Source organism: Homo sapiens, chromosome 20, assembly GCF_000001405.40.
Source record: "Homo sapiens chromosome 20, GRCh38.p14 Primary Assembly".
Taxonomy (NCBI): domain Eukaryota; kingdom Metazoa; phylum Chordata; class Mammalia; order Primates; family Hominidae; genus Homo; species Homo sapiens.
The window spans coordinates 4,030,808-4,049,609 of NC_000020.11; the positions used below are offsets into that span (position 1 = coordinate 4,030,808).

An 18,802-nucleotide genomic window follows, 5' to 3' on the forward strand; every position below is an offset into this window, starting at 1 on the left:
TTAGCCAGGTGTGGTGGTGTGTGCCTGTAGTCCCAGCTACTCAGGAGGCTGAGGTGGGAAGATCGCTTAAGCCAAGCAGGTCAAGGATACGGTGAGCCATGGTCATGCCACTGCACTCCAGACTGGGCAACAGAGTTAGACCCTGTCTCAAAAAAAAAAAATTGTAAAAAAATCAGTTGGCTTATTTGTGTGGATCTATTTCTGGATTCTCTATTCCGTTCCATTGATCTGTGTGTCTATCCCTTTGCCAATATTGCACAGTCTTGATTACTGTAGCTATATAATAACTCTTGAAATTCCTCTTACTTTATTCTTATTTTACGTAATTGCTATATCTATTCTAGGGTCCATGCCTTTTAATATAAATTTTAGAATAAATTAGCCTGTGTCTATAAAAACCCTTTCTGGGGGTTTTGATAGGAATTGTATTAAACTTGGAGATAAATCTTGGGAAAACTTATATCTTTATTATGTTGACTCTTCCAAAATGTAAACAAGGTATGTTTAGCCATTTATTTAGATCTTTAATTTCTTTTACCAGCATTTGCGATTTTTATCATACAGATCCTATATATGTTTTGTTAGATTTGTTCCTAGGTTTTTCTTTTTTTTTTTTTGAGTGATTGAAAACGTTATTGGGTTTTAAATTTCAGTTTCTGTATGTTCAATGCCAGCATATAAAACTGTATGCTGATGTTGTGCGTTGTGAATAAACTCATTTATTAGTTCTAAGAGGTTTTTTTGGTGGGAATTTTCTTGAAATTTTCAATGTAGATCCTCATATCTTCTGCAAATAATGACAGTTTCATTTCTTCCTTTATAACCTGTATGCATTTTTTCATGTCTTACTGCACTGGCTAGAATTTCCACTAATATGTTGAGTAAGAGTGGTTAGAGCAGACATCCTTGCTTTGTTCCTGATTTTAGGTGGAACGCATTCAGTCTTTCACCAATATGTATGATGTTAGTTATAGGTTTTGTAGATGCTTTTTTAATCACATTGAGATAGTTCCCCTGTATTCCTAACTTGCTGAGTTTTTAAAAATCGTAAATGAGCTCCCTCTCCCTCCCCCGCCCCCCTCTGATGCCGAGCCAAAGCTGGACGGTACTGCTGCCATCTCGGCTCACTGCAACCTCCCTGCCTGATTCTCCTGCCTCAGCCTGCCGAGTGCCTGCGATTGCAGGCGCGCGCCGCCACGCCTGACTGGTTTTCGGTTTTTTTTTGGTGGAGACGGGGTTTCGCTGTGTTGGCCGGGCTGCTCTCCAGCTCCTAACCGCGAGTGATCCGCCAGCCTCGGCCTCCCGAGGTGCCGGGATTGCAGATGAAGTCTCGTTCACTCAGTGCTCAGTGGTGTCCAGGCTGGAGTGCAGCGGCGTGATCTCGGCTCGCTACAACCACCTCCCAGCCGCCTGCCTTGGCCTCCCAAAGAGCCGAGATTGCAGCCTCTGCCCGGCCGCCACCCCGTCTGGGAAGTGAGGAGCGTCTCTGCTTGGCCACCCATCGTCTGGGATATGAGGAGCCCCTCTGCCTGGCTGCCCAGTCTGGAAAGTGAGGAGCGTCTCTGCCCGGCCGCCATCCCATCTAGGAAGCGAGGAGCGTCTCTGCCCGGCCGCCATCCCATCTAGGAAGCGAGGAGCGCCTCTTCCCGGCTGCCATCCCATCTAGGAACTGAGGAGCGTCTCTGCCCGGCCGCCCATCGTCTGAGATGTGGGGAGCACCTCTGCCCCACCGCCCTGTCTGGGATGTGAGGAGCGCCTCTGCTGGGCCGCAACCCTGTCTGGGAGGTGAGGAGCGTCTCTGCCCCGCCGCTCCGTCTGAGAAGTGAGGAAACCCTCTGCCTGGCAACCGCCCCGTCTGAGAAGTGAGGAGCCCCTCCGTCCGGCAACCACCCCGTCTGGGAAGTGAGGAGCGTCTCCGCCCGGCAGCCACCCCGTCCGGGAGGGAGGTGGGGGGGGGGGTCGGCCAGCCGCCCCGTCCGGGAGGGAGGTGGGGGGGTCAGCCCCCCGCCCGGCCGGCCGCCCCGTCCGGGAGGTGAGGGGCGCCTCTGCCCGGCCGCCCCTACTGGGAAGTGAGGACCCCTCTGCCCGGCCAGCCGCCCCGTCCGGGAGGGAGGTGGGGGGGTCAGCCCCCCGCCCGGCCGGCTGCCCCGTCCGGGAGGTGAGGGGCGCCTCTGCCCGGCCGCCCCTACTGGGAAGTGAGGAGCCCCTCTGCCCGGCCAGCTGCCCCGCCCGGGAGGGAGGTGGGGGGGTCAGCCCCCCGCCTGGCCAGCCGCCCCATCCGGGAGGGAGGTGGGGGGGTCAGCCCCCCGCCCGGCCAGCCGCCCCGTCCGGGAGGGGGGAGGGGGGGTCAGCCCCCTGCCCGGCCAGCCGCCCCGTCCGGGAGGGAGGTGGGGGGGGGGTCAGCCCCCTTTCCGGCCGCCGCCTGTCCGGGAGGTGAGGGGCGCCTCTGCCTGGCCGCCCCTACTGGGAAGTGAGGACCCCTCTGCCCGGCCAGCCGCCCCGTCCGGGAGGGAGGTGGGGGGGACAGCCCCCCGCCCGGCCAGCCGCCCTATCCAGGAGGTGAGGGGCGCCTCTGCCCGGCCGCCCCTACTGGGAAGTGAGGAGCCCCTCTGCCTGGCCAGCCGCCCCGTCCGGGAGGGTAGTGGGGGGGTCAGCCCCCCGCCCGGCCAGCCGCCCCATCCGGGAGGTGAGGGGCGCTTCTGCCCGGCCGCCCCTACTGGGAAGTGAGGAGCCCCTCTGCCCGGCCACGACCCCGTCTGGGAGGTGTGCCCAGCGGCTCATTGGGGATGGGCCATGATGACAATGGCGGTTTTGTGGAATAGAAAGGCGGGAAGGGTGGGGAAAAAATTGAGAAATCGGATGGTTGCCGGGTCTGTGTGGATGGAAGTAGACATGGGAGACTTTTCATTTTGTTCTGTACTAAGAGAAATTCTTCTGCCTTGGGATCCTGTTGATCTGTGACCTTATCCCCAACCCTGTGCTCTCTGAAGCATGTGCTGTGTCCACTCAGGGTTAAATGGATTGGGGGCGGTGCAGGATGTGCTTTGTTAAACAGATGCTTTGTTAAACAGATGCAGCGTGCTGGTTGAGAGTCATCACCACTCCCTAATCTTAAGTACCCAGGGACACAGACACTGCGGAGGGCCGCGGGGTCCTCTGCCTAGGAAAACCAGAGACCTTTGTTCACTTGTTTATCTGCTGACCTTCCCTCCACTATTGTCCTATGACCCTGCCAAATCCCCCTCTGCGAGAAACACCCAAGAATGATCAATAAAAAAAAAAAAAAAAAAAAAAAAAAGAAAAAGGGGCCCAGGGGACAGGCATTCAGCATATGGAGGATCCACGCCAGCCCCGGCTGCTGCGTTCCCTTAGTATTTATTGCTCATTATCGGGCGTGACAGGATAATAGGATAATGGTGGGGAGGTCAGAAGGTAAACACGTGAACAAATGTCTCTGCACCATAAACAAGGTAAAGAAAAAAGTGCTGTGCTTTTGATGTGCATATACATAAACATCTCATTGCCTTAAGGAACAGTATTGCTGCCAGCATGTCCCACCTCCAGCCCTAAGGCGGTTTTCTCCTATCTCAGTAGATGGAATATACAATCAGCTTTACACCCAGACATTCCATTGCCCAGGGATGAGCAGGAGACAGAAGCCTTCCTCTTATCTCAACTGCAAAAAGGCGTTCCTTCCTCTTTTACTAATCCTCCTCAGCACAGACCTTTTACGGGTGTCGGGTGTCGGGCTGGGGGACGGTCAGGTCTTTCCCTTCCCACAAGGCCATATTTCAGACTCTCACATGGGGAGAAACCTTGGACGGTGCCTGGCTTTCCTGGGCAGAGGTCCCTGCGGCCTTCTGCAGTGTTTTGTGTCTCTGGGTACTTGAGATTGGGGAGTGGTTTGAGATTGGGGAGTGGTGATGACTCTTAACAAGCATGCTGCCTTCAAGCATTTGTTTAACAAAGCACACCCTGCACAGCCCTTGATCCATTTGGCCCTGAGTTGACACAGCGCATGTTTCGGGGAGCACAGGGTTGGGGGAAGGGTTACAGATTGGCAGCATCTCAGGGCAGAAGAATTTTTCTTAGTAGGGAACAAAATGGAGTCTCCTATGTCTACTTCTTTCTACACAGACACAGTAACAATCTGATCTCTCTTTCTTTTCCCCACAATGTGGTTTTGGGCGACTGTAGTCCCGGCTACTTGGGAGACTGAGGCAGGAGAATTGCTTGAACCTGGGAGGCAGAGGTTGCTGTGAGCCGAGATTGTGCCACTGCACTACAGCCTGGGCGAAAAAAGCAAAACTCCGTCTCAAAAAAAAAAAACAAAACACTTGTGATTTGGGGGTTTTGTGGAAATTTAATTACGATGAAAAATCTGTATCTTTTTTGTAATGTTGGCATACTTGGGTAATTTTGTGGCAAATATATTTCCCAGTGGACCTTTTGTTGGTGGCACTAACTGCAAGGTTGCTGGGAAAGTGGAGTCTGTTTGGTGGATGAGCTCTGACTGCCGTTTTGGAACCTCACCTCTACTCATGCTGTCTCAAGTCCTTGTCTCATTCTCCAGCTCTCAGTTCAAATAAAGTTATTTCTCCTGGGAAAAAAAGTTCCGTGAAACGCACACTGGATGACAGTGCTGAAGTTGGGTGCCCTGGGAAGTCCTCAGGACACCCCTGCATGAAGGCTGCCCCAGGAGAGCAGCGCAAGGTTGTGGAGGTCTCAAAGCTCTGAAGAACCTGCCTACCGAAGACAGGAGTGCCCACAAAACAGTTGGCCCATGGGCTCCCCAAGACCTACGTGTACCTCGGAGGCATTTGGCAGAAGATTCTTTGTGAACAAAAATCTCTGCCCACTAGGAGGCAGGAGTGTGTGTGTGTGTGTGTGTGTGTGTGTGTGTTGAAACCAGAACTCCACCTTATGTGTTCATTGTGGAATTTGAAAATGGAAGCCTAAAGTTGAAAATTAAAATCACCCGTGATAGCTGTAAAAAAAAAAAAAAAAAAAAAAAAAATCGTAAATGAGTTCTTACTTTGGAAGCATATATACTAAAGTTGGAATGAAACAGAGAAGATTAGTTACTGATTTCATTTTTCAATAAGTTTAGATTTATTATGTTGGTTTCCCAATTTAAAAAATTGACTTCTTAAAAAATCATAAATGAGTGTTGGATTTTGTGAAATGCTTTATTCTGTATCAATTGATATGATTATAGGATTATTATTTTTTAGCCTATTGATATAGCACTGTAATAAAAGTTATGTGAATATCCTCTCTCTCTGTCTCTCTCAAAATATCTTACTTTGGCTGGGAGCAGTGGCTCACACCTGTAATCCCAGCATTTTGGAAGGCCGAGGCAGGTGGACTGCTTTGAGCTCAGGAGTTCAAGACCAGCCTGGGCAACTTGCTGGTTGCCCAGCAAACTTGTTTCTACAAAAAATACAAAAAAAAAAAAAATTAGCTGGGCAATCATGCCTGTAGTCCCAGCTACTTGGGAAGCTGAGGCTGGAGGCCAGTTCCTGAGAAGTCTTTTCTTTCCTCCATCTCTTCTCTTGGTCTCTGTGTTGTGCTAAGTCAAGGATAGCTTCCTCCTTTGACAGATTATCTTTGACTTTGCCCATCAGGTGAGAGGGCACTATCAGCCACAGGACCACTCTCTCGTTTACTCATCGGGGAGATGTTCTGCTCCCTGTGGTGTGGGTGTGGACGCTTTACTCTGGAATCCCTTCCAGTGGACGTTAAGCATCCCCCTCAGGGCTTGGAGAGGACCAATGAACAAGGGAAGCAGGGCAGGCAAAGAGTCTGAGGCAGGCGGCTGATGAACCAGGTCTTCCCCTGAGTGATGCTGGGAAAAGAAGCACGTTGACTAAGCACCTGTGATGTGCCATACACTTTCATATGTGTTAATTAATCCCGTAGTGACCCTGTGAGGTAGGTATAATGATCATCCCCATTTACAAATGAGGAAACTGCAGTGTAAAAGAATTTAAAACTAGGTTTAAAAATGAGGGAAATAGAAAAGCACCATTAGGCAAACCTATAGTAATAATGGTTGCAGTAAGATTCACTGATAGTTGCTAAAAGTATTTTTATTAATTATAAAGGAAAAAATGGCTGGGTGTAGTGGCTTATGCCTGTAATTCTAGCACATGGGGAGGCTGAGATGGGAGGATTGCTTGAGATCAGGAGTTTGAGACCAGCCTGGTCAATAGAGTGAGACTTCATCTCTATTGTTATAAAGAATAAAACAAAATTTAAAATAAATAAATTTTAAAAACGTTTTAAGAAGGAAAAAATATAAAAGTGGAGAAATCCGGTAAATACCACCCTAATCAAGTGATCAAGGTTAGTATTACTAGTAATAATTGATACTGACATTAGGTACTCCCTGATGTGATGCCTTGAGTTGAGCACAGTATCATCTCTTACATCAATCTCATCATGATAAAACACTAGACAAACCCAGACTGAGATGGGGTTCCACAGACTCCTACTCAGGTGTCAGAATTAGAACCCAGAGCCCATCATCTTTCCACTCTGGGCAGGAAAGGTATGGAGGCCAAGGGTAGGGGGATGCCTCCTTTCTGGAGGGAGGCACTGCTGACTGAACGTGTACCCACCTCAGTACGTGGGACTCATGACTACAGTGTGCTCTGTAACTAGAAACTACATCTCTTTGCCTGAGGGCATTCTCCAAAGCACAAAGGTGGTTCTGTCTGTGCTGGCCTTCCCACTCCTTTTTTTTTTTTTTTTTTTGAGATGGAGTCTTGCTCTGTCGCCCAGGCTGGAGTGCAGTGGCATGATCTCGGCTCACTGCAACCTCCGCCTCCCGGGTTCAAGTGATTCCCCTGCCTCATCCTCCCGAGTAGCTGGGGACTACAGGCATGTGCCACAATGCCCGACTAATTTTTGTATTTTTTGGCGGAGACTGGGTTTCACCATGTTGCCCAGGTTGGTCTTGAACTGACCTCAAGTGATCCGCCCGCCTTGGCTGGTATTACAGGCTCTTGAGATTCTTAAACACATCACATCATAAAGTCCCTTGTGCCATGTGAGGTAATATACTCACAGCTTCTGGAGATTAGGATGTGGGCATCTTGAAGGGTATCATTATTCTGTCCACCACATGCCCATGGTCCAGGGTTCAGAATAAAAGGGGCTCTGAGTTGGCAACATCTGCCCAGAGGAAGCCAGTGCTGTGAGAAGGGGAAGGTGGTACAAGGGGCTATAAACTAAAATGCAGAAATACAGAGGAAGACATATTTCAGTGGTTACATAGCATGTGGTGTGTGTATGCGTGACTGTGTGTGTTTGTGTGCATGTGCGTGTGTGTCTGGGGGAAGGAGGTAGAGGAAGTGAGATGATGGTGACAGTGACAGCAGCTTGGAGAAGACAGGGGGGTGGGTCTACTTCTGAGGAAGTCCTTGGCTGAGGTAGGGCCGCAGAGAGGCAGGGTGAGGGTGGAGCCTGTGGTTTCAGAGAGGAGTTTTAATGGCTGCCAAGAATGTGCACATGAAGCCGAAAGGGAGTGCGGCCTGGAGCTGCAGTCAGCCCAGAGGGCGGGTGGAGCCTGTCCCAGGGCACTAGGATCGCAGAGAACGACAGGAGGGAGCAGGGCTCTGTGAGCAGGGAGAGGAAAAAGAGAGAAACTAGGTTTGTGATGGAAAATGGGCTATGGTTTCATAATTGGAAGTGCCTGTGGGCAATGAGTATAAATGGAGGGTTTGGTAACACTTGGGGAAAAATTATTAATTTGGAACTTCTATAAAGCCTTTTGTCTCCTATTAAAAATCCTGTGGGTACCAAGTGAATTTCATCATTTAATTCTCTCAATAAACAATGAACTGCTACTTTGCATGGGACAACATTCTCTGGAGATGCATACAGTGAACAAACAAGGTGAATGAATGGACTCAGGGAATTAGGTGTCACAGGCATAGAAAGGCAAGGAGATGAAGGAGTAAGTCAGCAAGAGGATGATGGAGGCAGAATCAGCTTTCCCCAGCAGGGGATGACACGGGGTTTTCGATATCACCTGCCCGGGGAGGCTTGCCCATTTCCACTCTCCAGCCCACCTGCCCAGGGGATAGGCTTTGAAATGTATATTCCCTACTGTCCGCCTCCTTGGAGCCATTCCTTCATTTCTTCCTTCCTCCTCTTCCTCTCCCCTTGTCTTCCTTTGCCTTGGAGCTTGGGAGGCTCCAGGCAAGAAGAGGGGGACTGCGGCATCTTTCTCTTGCTTCCCTCTCTTCTTTCTACCCTTTGGATCCCATTCAAAACAGATAAATAGAGGTCCACTGTGGGCCTGGAATCATGCAGGGGTTACAAGACGGGGGACTCCCATGACCAAGCGTGATTCTCCAGCAAGGGGATTTCTGGGAGCCCTTAGCAGCTGACACATGCAGCAGCTGGGCCAGGGGTGGACCAGCCTGTTAAGGGGATCTGTGTGGGGCACCAGTATCCTCTACTATAGCAAGGATGTGGAGTAGCAGATAATCTCACACCCTGCTATAGATTGGAATAAAACTTTAGAAAGCAATTTGCTAATATTGTATAGAGAGGAAGACACACATGGCCTGTGACCCAGCAATTCCACTTCCAGTCACATACCCAAGAGAAACTTTGCATGTGCATGAGGAGACAAGGAATGTTCATTGCAGCATAATTTGAAAAAACAAAAGCTGGAAATAAATGAAATGTGCATCTTATAGGAAGTTGGATCTATTCACGTAATGGAATACAGCAGGTAAAATAAACAAGATTTATGAGTATCATCAGAGATAACTCTAAAAGCATGATGTTGAGTGAAAAAAGCATGCTACCAAATGATATATATAATGTTGCCATTTATTTATGTATTATTTATTTATTTATTTTTGAGACTGAGTCTTGCTCTGTCGCCCAGGCTGGAGTGCAGTGGCATGATCTCGGCTCACTGCAATCTCCGCCTCCCAGGTTCAAGTGATTCTCCTGCCTCAGCCTCCTAAGTAGCTGGGACTACAGGCGTGCACCACCATGCCCGGCTAATTTTTGTATTTTTAGTAGAGACAGGGTTTCACTATGTTGGCCAGGCTGGTCTTAAACTCCCGACCTCAAGTGATCAACCTGCCTTGGCCCCCTAAGCTGCTGGATTACAAGCTTGAGCCACCGTGCCGGGCCTAATGTTGCCATTTATATAAAGTTTAAAGACACGCAAAACAATACGTTTACATATATATGTGTATATATGTATATATGCATTTATGTATGTATATATCTGTGTATATATAGTAAACATATATGTATGTAACATAGTAAACATATATACACACATACACAAACACACACATATATAGTAAAAGTGTAACAGCATGCTTGGGAATGCTAATACTCAATATAGAGTAGTGGGACTTGCAGCCAGATTGCTTGGATTTGCATCCTAGTTCCTTTTCTTACTAGCTGTATAATCTTGGAGAAGTTATTTAACCTCTGCAGGCCTCAGCTTGCTTATGTGTTAAATGGGAAATGCCAATTGTATCAGCCAGCAATTGCTGCCCTAATGCTGTGTAACAAACAACCCCTAAGCTCAGTGGCTTTCAACCACAAGCAGTTATTTTCTATCCACAAGCCTGTGAGTTGGCTGTGGCTCTGCTGGACTGGGCTCCAGGAAGTGGCTTAGGTTCATGTCTGCTCCACGTGTCTCCACCAGCAACTATCCAGGGCTTGTTCTTTTCAGGGCAGAGGTCACATGCATGGGTGGCTGCTGAAAGCACATGATGCCTTCTTGAGTCTTTGGCCCAGAACTGGCATATTGCTTCCACCCACATTCCAGTGGGGTAGGGAAAGTATACACCACCCACAGTGATCCAGAGCAAGGGCAGCAGGAGAAGGAGGTACTGGGAGCAAGTAATGGTGCAATAGTGCCTACCTGCTTTGTTTGAAGCATTAAATGAGTTAATGTGTGTCAGGTGCCTGGCACATAGTAGGTGCTATATTCTTACTAATCAGGAGAATGATGAACTCTGGGAGAAAGAGGAAATTTAACTTATCCATTAAATTTCTTTTTTAAAAACAAAGATCATAAAAAGAAAAAGAGGGAAAAATATTTGCTTTCAGAAGAGAAAGCGAGAGAGAGAGAGAGGACACGAATGCTGCAGACTGAACCACAGGGAGCATTGGCATTCAGGAAAAAGAGGAAAATGGAAGACTTAATTGTAGACTCCAGGAGGCAGGGACTGTGTGTGGCCTCACTCATTTCTCTGTCCCCAGCACCATGTCTGACACATGGTAAATGCTCCTAAGGAGCACAGGGAAAGAAGAAACAATGATAGAGGCAGAGGTTGGAGAGAATCTGAGAAAAATGAGAAGCTCTCACCCTAAAAGCTAGAGGAGATCGTTAAAAGGGGCTGGATAGCTGCCTTGTGGACTGGTCAGCAGTGGCCATCATCCCACTCTGGACCCAGCCTCACTGTTGGGTCTGGTGTTCCAGGACACAGGGGACAGACTTGCTATTTCATTTGGTGAGTTTTGTCTCAGGCCAAGCTTCTGAGTAGTAGGAGGTGAAAGGCCCAGTCCCCCGCTATTGATCTCTTAATTTCAGCATCCTCTTCTCTCCCTTTTCCCTTTGGCTGTCCCTGATTCTCCTTTTCAAATCTCCTTCCAGCCTCCCACTCCTCGGGTCCCCACTGCCTGGAGGAATATGCAGAGGCCAAGACAGAAAGGAGGCTGGGCACGGAGGCTCACACCTGTAATCCCAGCACTTTGGGAGGCCAAGGCAGGCAGATCACTTGAGCCCAGGAGTTCAAGACCAGCCTTAGCAACATGGCAAAACCCTGTCTCTACTAAAAATATAGAAACTAACCGCTGTGATGGCACGCACCTGTACCTGGGAGGCTGGCTTGAGCCCTGGAGGTGAGGCTGCAGTAAGCTGTGATCGCACCACTGCACTCCAGTCTGGGAGGTGGACTGACGAGTGTTGGGGGCTCTCAGAGACCAGGAGGGGGGCCAGGATAGAGCCCTTCTTCTTTGTTTTCCTACTTTGGCCTGAAAAGCTCCACTGAGCCTTCATGAAGGGCAGGCAGCCAAAGGCTGGGGAGAAGGTGGACTCATTTCCTTGTAAATTACGTGGTTATGAGGGCGGGAATTTCACATGTGGCTTTTTGCATAATCAGGTTATCAGGTAGTTGGCCCATTCCTGGGCTCATAAAGTCTCTGGTTGCTCTGACTCATAGCATGGAGTGGGAGGCGAGCCAGCAGGGATGGGGCTGGGAGGAGGTGCCCGCCAGCTGCCTGCTTGGGTGGTGTCAGGTGGGGATCCTTTTCAGAGCCCAAGTGTCATAAACATCTGGGCTTGAGAATCGGTCTACTTGAGTTCAAGTCTTGGCCTCACCGCTTGCCAGCTGTGTGACCTTGGGCAAGTTCCTAACCCTCCCTAGTCCTTTATTTCTGCATTAGGGCAAGGGTGGTGGTTTAGAGAAGGATTTGCCTGGGAAAGAGCAGGTGGCTGCTTAAGCAGATCCCCAGGAGGGCAGTATGTGGGTGTGGCCACCAACCTCCTGAATCCAATCCACAGATTTCCCTGAAAAAATGTAGTGGTTTGCACTCTGGCAAACCGTGGGGCAATATCTAATAAACTCACTGCATTAATTTTCTAGGGCTGCCATGACAAAGTACCATACACTGGGTGGACAGAAACAACAGATATTTATCCTCCCGCAGTTCAGGAAGCTAGAAGTCTGAGATCAAGGTGTTGGCAGAACCGGGCTCTAAGAGAGAATCTATTCCATGCTCTTTTTTTTTTTTTTTTTTTTTCCTGAGACAGAGTCTTGCTCTGTTGCCCAGGTTGGAGTGCAATGGCACAATCTCAGCTCACTGCAACCTCCACCTCCTGGGTTCAAGCGATTCTCTTGCTTCATGCTCCCAAGTAGCTGGGATTACAGGCGTCTGTCACCACACCCAGCTAATTTTTTTTTGTATTTTTAGTAGAGATGGGGTTTCATCGTGTTGGCCAGGCTGGTCTCAAACTCCTGAACTCAGGTGATCTGTCTGCCTCAGCCTCCCAAAGTGCTGGGATTACAGGCATGACCCACTGCACCTGGCCTATTCTGTGCTTTTCTCTGAGTTTCTGGAGTGGCGTTCCTTGGCTTGCGGCAGCATCACTCCAAGCTCTGCCTTTGTTGTCATGTGGCATGCTCCTTGCGTGTCTCTGTCTCACGTGGCTCTCTCTTCTGTGTGTGTCTGGGTCCAATTTCCTTCTTATAAGGACACCAATCATATTGGATTACAGTCCACCCTAATGACCTTCTCTTCATTTGATTATATCTGTCAAGACCCTGTTTCCAAGGAAAGTCATGTTTGTAGGTATCAGGGATTAAGTCTTCAACATATCTTTTTGGGGGACATGATTCAACCCATATCACCCACTTTACCTACGAACAGTAGGACTGAAAGGCCCAGTCCCCTCCTGTCCACCTCACAATTCCATCAACTCCTCTCCTAGGAATATAACTTAAAGAAATTAGTGGTTAGTCTACTGAAAGCTGAAACGCATGTACTAGAATGTTTCAAGCATCTTTATTTTTAATAGTCCCAAACTGGACACAACTCTAAGGTCCCATCCACAGGAGAATTGACAAACAGATTAGAGTACATTCACACAATGGAACACTACTCGGCAACAGAAAGGATAAATTGCTGATACAAGCAATAATATGAATGAAAGACTACCTTTGTTTGGCCCTGGCTATTTGTAGTCCTACTATGTGACACTATTTTATGAAATTCAAGAAGAGACAAAACTAGTCTGATAGATGTCAGACATAAATAAAAATTTATTGAGCTGTACACTTAAGCTATGTAAATTATATTTCAATTTAAGGAGTTTAAAAAAATTAAAAAAATTTAGGCCTTGGCATGCCCAGAAGTCAATGACTTACTCCCAGGGCTTGACTCCCATTTGCCAAAGTTCTAGGAGCTTGATGTATAAACTGGAAAGTTGACAAGATAAGTCCTAATGAGAACTCTAATGAGCCAGGGGCCCAGTGCCTGTGTCACCTGGATAGTGGCAGAGACAAACTGTCCAATGAGATACTCAGGACACCCTCTTCTGAGGTGCTGCTGGTTGATTATGCCCCTTCCTTGGACTGGATGCCACATAATGAGCTGGGTTCTGACTTCACCAGTGAAGTGTCCTGTGTCCTTGTGGAAATGACTCAGCCCCCTTCCTCATCTCTAAAATGCGTATACCTACCCTCCCTCCCAGGGTGGTTGTGAGAAGCATTTGACAAAACACCATATTTAAAGTCCCATTCATAGGAGGTAGGTACTCAGGTAATGTGGTTTCCCCTTCCTTTCACAGAGCTGGGATGCAGCTACTGGCTCAGACATTTTTCTTTTGATCCTTTTGGGTGCAGAGCCTTTTGCTAGTAGCCAAAAGAGGTGACGAGACACTCCTGAGAACTTCCTTGTTTCTCAGGTCACATAGATAATAGATAATAACTTATATCGGCAAAGCTATTTAAAAAACACTAGGAAGCTCACAGCCTAAGAATATATCCTCCACCAGCCAACTACCTGGAGTCCCCTCTAAGTGTGTCTTCCTGTGGGGTCACTATTGCCCCCTGTCTAATGTGCTGACTTTGTGAGTGCGAGGGTGGGGCATAATGGTGCATTTGTTAGTCCTGGTGGTGGATGGAAGGGTTGGGAGCCCTCATTGCAGGAAGAAAGGACAGAATATTTTGGAGCTGAGCTCATTGAGGGGGAGATATTTGAGGGTGCTCACATTCCCCCTGTTCCCCTGAGATGGCCCTGAGTCCTCAGCACCCTGGTGAGATTACCGGGAGTAGGCAGGAGTGGTGAGCTCTGGCAACTGCCGCCCTTTTGGGTCTTCCCTCCATCCCCGGGACCCACCCTTCTGTGTCCCTACCATCTTAGGCTAGGACAGGAAGGCTGCAGAGAGATAGGGCTGGTGGGGACTGGTGGGCAGTGCCTGGGTACAAGGTACGTTCCTGAAGGGGCTATTTGGAGAGCAAACTCCCCAGGTGGATGCCAGGCTACACTGGCAGAGTGGGGATCTATTTTGATTCCCAAGAATTCAACTTTAGAACAAGTAGTGAATGAGGGGATTACGAACTTCCTACAAGCATAGTTGGATGGTGCATAGGAACATGCCCTTGGGCCAATGTCATGAGCCCTGGGCTACCCACCTCTTGGTGTTCTTTCCCTCTGTATTAGATTTCCCCAGAGAAGCAGAACCAGTAGAATAAATACATAATGAGAGAGAGAGAGACTAATTTTAAGGAATTGCTTCATACAACTATGGAAGCCAGCAAGTCCAAAATCTGCAGAGTAGGCTGGCAAGCTGGAGACCCAGGGAAGAGCCGATGTTGCAGATCCAGTCTGAAAAACCCTCTGCAGGTAGAACTCTCTCTTGCTCAGGGTGGGGATGAGGGTAGGTCAGCCTTGCTCTATTCAGGCCTTCAGCTGATTGGATGAGGCCCACCCACATTATGGAGGGCAATCTGCCTTACTCAAACTCTACTGATTTAAATGTTAATCTCATCAAAACAGCCTCAGAGAAAAATCCAGAATAATGTTTGATCAAATATCTGGGCTCTGTGGCCCAGCCAAGTTGATACATAAAACTAACCTCCTTATTAAAACGACTTCGCCAAGCAGTACGAACAGTAGCTCCCTGAGGCCCTGCCTTGTGTTGGGGGCCTTGTGCTTTGCCTGATTCAGGTGGACCCTCCCAACACATCTGTTTGGTAAGTGTCATGCTTGTTTCACAGACGAGTTAACTGAATCTTACGCGATGTGACAGGTGATGTTGGTGCCCTATCTAGATCCCTTTTCCCAGCTAGTGTCCCCCTCCCCAGCTGGTGACGGTGCAGTGGCTAACAACTTACATCTGAGAACTTTCATGGAGGATTCCGCTGGCAATGGGATTGTCCTTGTCCAGGACCTAGTGACTCATGTTCCCTTCTCCCATCATCCAGGGATGGACAACGACTGACTGACACAAGGGTACAAAAGCCTGTCCTGCTTATCTCAGGGGGCAATTCTGTGGACAGCTTACACCCAGAGCTCCCGGTGGATTGGGCTGAGGCCAGGCTGGACTGAGGCCACGCCCCTGCTGAACATCTTCCTCTGCCACATCCTGCTTCCCTCCATCCCTTTCTCCTGAGATCATTTCCTCCATAAATCACAGGGATTCCACAAATCCTCATCCTGGGCTCTGAGTCTAAAGAATAGGACCTAAGACACCTGTGAGTGAGGAATGTAAACCCAGGTCTAGCTGCCTTCAAAGGTGTCCCACAGGATCTTCGCATTGTCCGTAGCTGACAGGGGTGAGGACCTCCCTGGGGAGGGGTTCCTGGTTGCAGAGAGGGAAGACTCCCCGCCTTTTGGAAGGTCTCTTGGGTTTGCCCCCTTCCTTCTTTGCTTGCCCACTTCTTTCTTGCCTCATTCCACAGAACAGCACCAGCCACAGGCTAGGAGCCTCTACCCAGGGAGGGCAAGGGGAGGTTGAGGGCTACACCTGTGGCTGGGAAAGGCTGAATCTATGAGTCCCATCCCCAAGGATTCTCAGAGCAGGGAGTCGCTGCTTTCTGGGGCAGGGGTGCAGATTCGCAGCAATGGGAATGTGCTCGAAGGCCTGAGCTGCTGCTTGGGAGAGAGCATGAGCCAAATCCTGGTGGGCAGGCTGCCTGGTCGGTGGGCTTCAAATCTAGGCTGCACTCTGAGGCCTCCATTTGCAGCCTCCGCCTGTGCGAGTGCTGTGTCACCACCCTGGGAAGGCCTCTGTTGGGTTTTTCCAGAACTTGGAGGTTTAGAAGTGCCCCAGTCATGGCTGCTCTAGTTAGAATTTCGCCTCCAGCTTTCCCAGGGGGCCTCCAGCCCTCTCTGAGACACAGCTGCTCAGGGACAGTGAATGAATGAGAGCAAGGGGCCCCCTGTGGGGACACGAGAGTTTGCAGCAGAGATGGTGGTGCCCAGGCCTGGCAGAGAAAGTGCTGGGGGCAGCTGCATGATGGGGCAAGGCTCCTCATTGGCCCCCAAAGAACCTTCCATCCCACCTGGCTAGAGAAGACAATGAAGGATGGTGGAGGGGGGTGGTTGCGCCAGTCAGCAGAAGGCTTCTTCTCTTAACAAAAAGGAGGAGTGTTGAGCTGTTCCGTTTGGTTACAGATCTTTACTACTGCCTTCTCTATGAAAAGATATAGTGTGGGGGCTTTGGTGTCACATAGATCTGATTCAAAAACCTCTGTTTTATCCTTATAAATTCTGTGATGCTGTGAAAGCCACTTAACATCTCAGAACCTCAGTTTTCTCATCCATAAAATGGGTGGCCATGCTCACTGCATAGGCTTGCTGTCTGGGAAGGGGCAAGTAGATGAAGAAAGTAGCTCAGCAAGAGACAGAGATAGCTTTGCAATCTCTGGAATGTGAATGAAAAATTGAGCCATCTTCACCATGAAGGAACTCATTTGCTTCTAGAGACATGGCGGTGGGGGCAGACAGAAGGCCACTGCTCACCCGTTCCAGTGTTAAAGGCAGACATTACTGATTATATCTGCATACCCCAAGCCTGGATACAGAAGCCTGGTAGCTTCTCTTAATTGATCAGAGGTGGCACTTGAAATGGAACTTATGTGTCATCTCTGCGCTCTGTCAAGAGGCCTTGACAGCCACCCTGGAGGAGTCCCTAGGTGGTGAGGGAAGATTTAAGGGAAAGTAAGTTTGCTTTTTAGGTCTTCTAGTTTGAGTGCCTGGGAATAGAGATGGTTTCTGATTGAGCAGCCCAAAGGCTCTATCATGTTCCAGTAGCTTAAGCTACTGAGAAGAGGCCAGGCTTGGAGTGGGCCTTCCGGATGACCACTCACTTGGCAGGGCTGGCCTCACTGAAGGTGGACTCTTACCTGCCTCCCACTGGGAGCAGATCCTGAGACAAGGATTGGAGTACAAGTAGCTTATTTGTGAAGTGAACCTAGGATCTCCAGTAGAAGAGTGAGGAAGTGAGACTGGGAAGAGAAGGCAGTGAGGGAGCTGGGGTATTTATACGCCAATTCCCATTGATCATTAGTTGAGGACTTCTGGGGTAGGATGTTAAGTCCTGGTTACATATGGACAGAACAGGGTCAGGTGGCCAGAGAAAGCTCTTTGACAAAAATAATCCCAGGTACTGGTATTTGGAAGTGGTAAGAGCTCAAAGCAGTATCTGCTACACATGTGGTCCCACAAATCCTGAGCAACTCAAGTGAGTTTGTCCGTTGAAAATCAGAACAGCTTAACCTTTCCCAATGTAGAGCTCTCTTTAAAATGCAGGCAGCCTCACCTTGCCCTACTCTGCCTCTCTCAGGGGGAGGCATGGTCCCTACCCAGCATGGCTGCTGTCACTGCCTTCTCCTACAACCATGAGGACAGTGCTCATTGATCACAAGACTTTTTCAGATAAGACCTCATAACCCCTCTCAAGAGAGTGAGTGCTCTAGTCAGCCCCTGTAATGTAAAAGGAATAATCCCAGAAAAATCTCTGATGGGCATTTAGCATGAGACACACATTAGGTGCCCAATAAATGGAAGCCATTGATAGCACTACTGTTGCTGCTTAGAGATAAAACCTATTGGCCAAACCTATCCTGACCCCAAAAGAGATGGAATTTGTCAGATTCATTCCTCCCCAGCAGCTACTAGAGAGGAGTGGAGAGAGAGAGCTGGGAAAAGCCGGAAGAAGTTGGAGTAATTTGGGAGAAGAGCCTGGAGTCCTTCCAAGAAGGAGCCCTGGGCAATGTGAGTTGGGGGGTTGATGAGAGCTTGGTGCCCAGGAGGAGGTGGCAAGGGAGGAGAGATGAGAGGTACTACAATTGTGCCCCATTTTTCATTCTCTCCTGGTGAGTCCCTGTCATTAGAAAGGGCATGTTCGATCTCATCTTCCCTTCTGGTTCCCACTCAGAGATGAGGACTTGCCTCCAGGGCTCCCAGTGGCTTATTCCCATGTTTTCCCATGGTCTGGACTCAAGGAGGGAGGGGTCTCTCTCTCTCTCTCTTTTTTTTTTTTTCTAATTTAGAGACAGAGTCTGGCTCTGTCACTTGGGCTGGAATGTAGTGGTGCAATCATAGCTCACTGTAGCCTTAACCTCCTGGTCTCAAGTGATCCTGCCACCTCAGCCTCCTGAGTAGCTGGGACTATAGGTGCACACTGCCATGTCCGGTTAATTATTTTTTATTTTTGCACCATGTTTAGCTAGTACCCAAACATGTCAGAGAGCCCAGCATGAAACCTTACACAAAAGAGTACAAACTGTATGATTTGAGATTCTTCCAAACTGTTGAATGTATTCGTAGTTGATTCCTCTTTCTCGCTGAGTAGTATTTCATTATATAAATATGCCACCATTTGTTTATCCATTTCCTTGTTGATAGACATTTAGTCTCTCTCTGGTTTTTTATTCTTGTGAATAAAGCTATGAACATTCATGTACACGTCTTTCTGCAGTCAAGGATCATTTCTTTTTTCTTTTTTTTTTGAGACAGAGTTTCGCTCTGTCGCTCAGGCTAGAGTGCAGTGGCGCGATCTCGGCTCACTGCAAGCTCCGCCTCCCGGGTTCACGCCATTCTCCTGCCTCAGCCTCCCCCAGTAGCTGGGACTACAGACGCCCGCCACCGCGCCCGGCTAATTTTTTGTATTTTTAGTAGAGATGGGGTTTCACCGTGTTAGCCGGGATAGTCTCAATCTCCTGACCTCGTGATCCACCCGCCTCGACCTCCCAAAGTGCTGGGATTACAGGCGTGAGCCACCAAGCCTGGCCAAGGATCATTT

General features: G+C 48.9%; 4 annotated features.

Moving 5' to 3' along the window:
* Window positions 2,667-3,311: an enhancer, noted in NCBI's record as "OCT4-NANOG-H3K27ac-H3K4me1 hESC enhancer chr20:4014121-4014765 (GRCh37/hg19 assembly coordinates)". NCBI's record gives its function as "activates a minimal SCP1, AML or CMV promoter by ChIP-STARR-seq in naive H9 embryonic stem cells {active_cell/tissue: H9 hESC(naive)}" and the evidence as "EXISTENCE:reporter gene assay evidence [ECO:0000049][PMID:30033119]".
* Window positions 7,137-7,186: an enhancer, noted in NCBI's record as "active region_17491". NCBI's record gives its function as "activates an Ori minimal core promoter by ATAC-STARR-seq in GM12878 lymphoblastoid cells {active_cell/tissue: GM12878}" and the evidence as "EXISTENCE:reporter gene assay evidence [ECO:0000049][PMID:35858748]".
* Window positions 15,268-15,768: an enhancer, noted in NCBI's record as "H3K4me1 hESC enhancer chr20:4026722-4027222 (GRCh37/hg19 assembly coordinates)". NCBI's record gives its function as "activates a minimal SCP1, AML or CMV promoter by ChIP-STARR-seq in primed H9 embryonic stem cells {active_cell/tissue: H9 hESC(primed)}" and the evidence as "EXISTENCE:reporter gene assay evidence [ECO:0000049][PMID:30033119]".
* Window positions 15,769-16,269: an enhancer, noted in NCBI's record as "H3K4me1 hESC enhancer chr20:4027223-4027723 (GRCh37/hg19 assembly coordinates)". NCBI's record gives its function as "activates a minimal SCP1, AML or CMV promoter by ChIP-STARR-seq in primed H9 embryonic stem cells {active_cell/tissue: H9 hESC(primed)}" and the evidence as "EXISTENCE:reporter gene assay evidence [ECO:0000049][PMID:30033119]".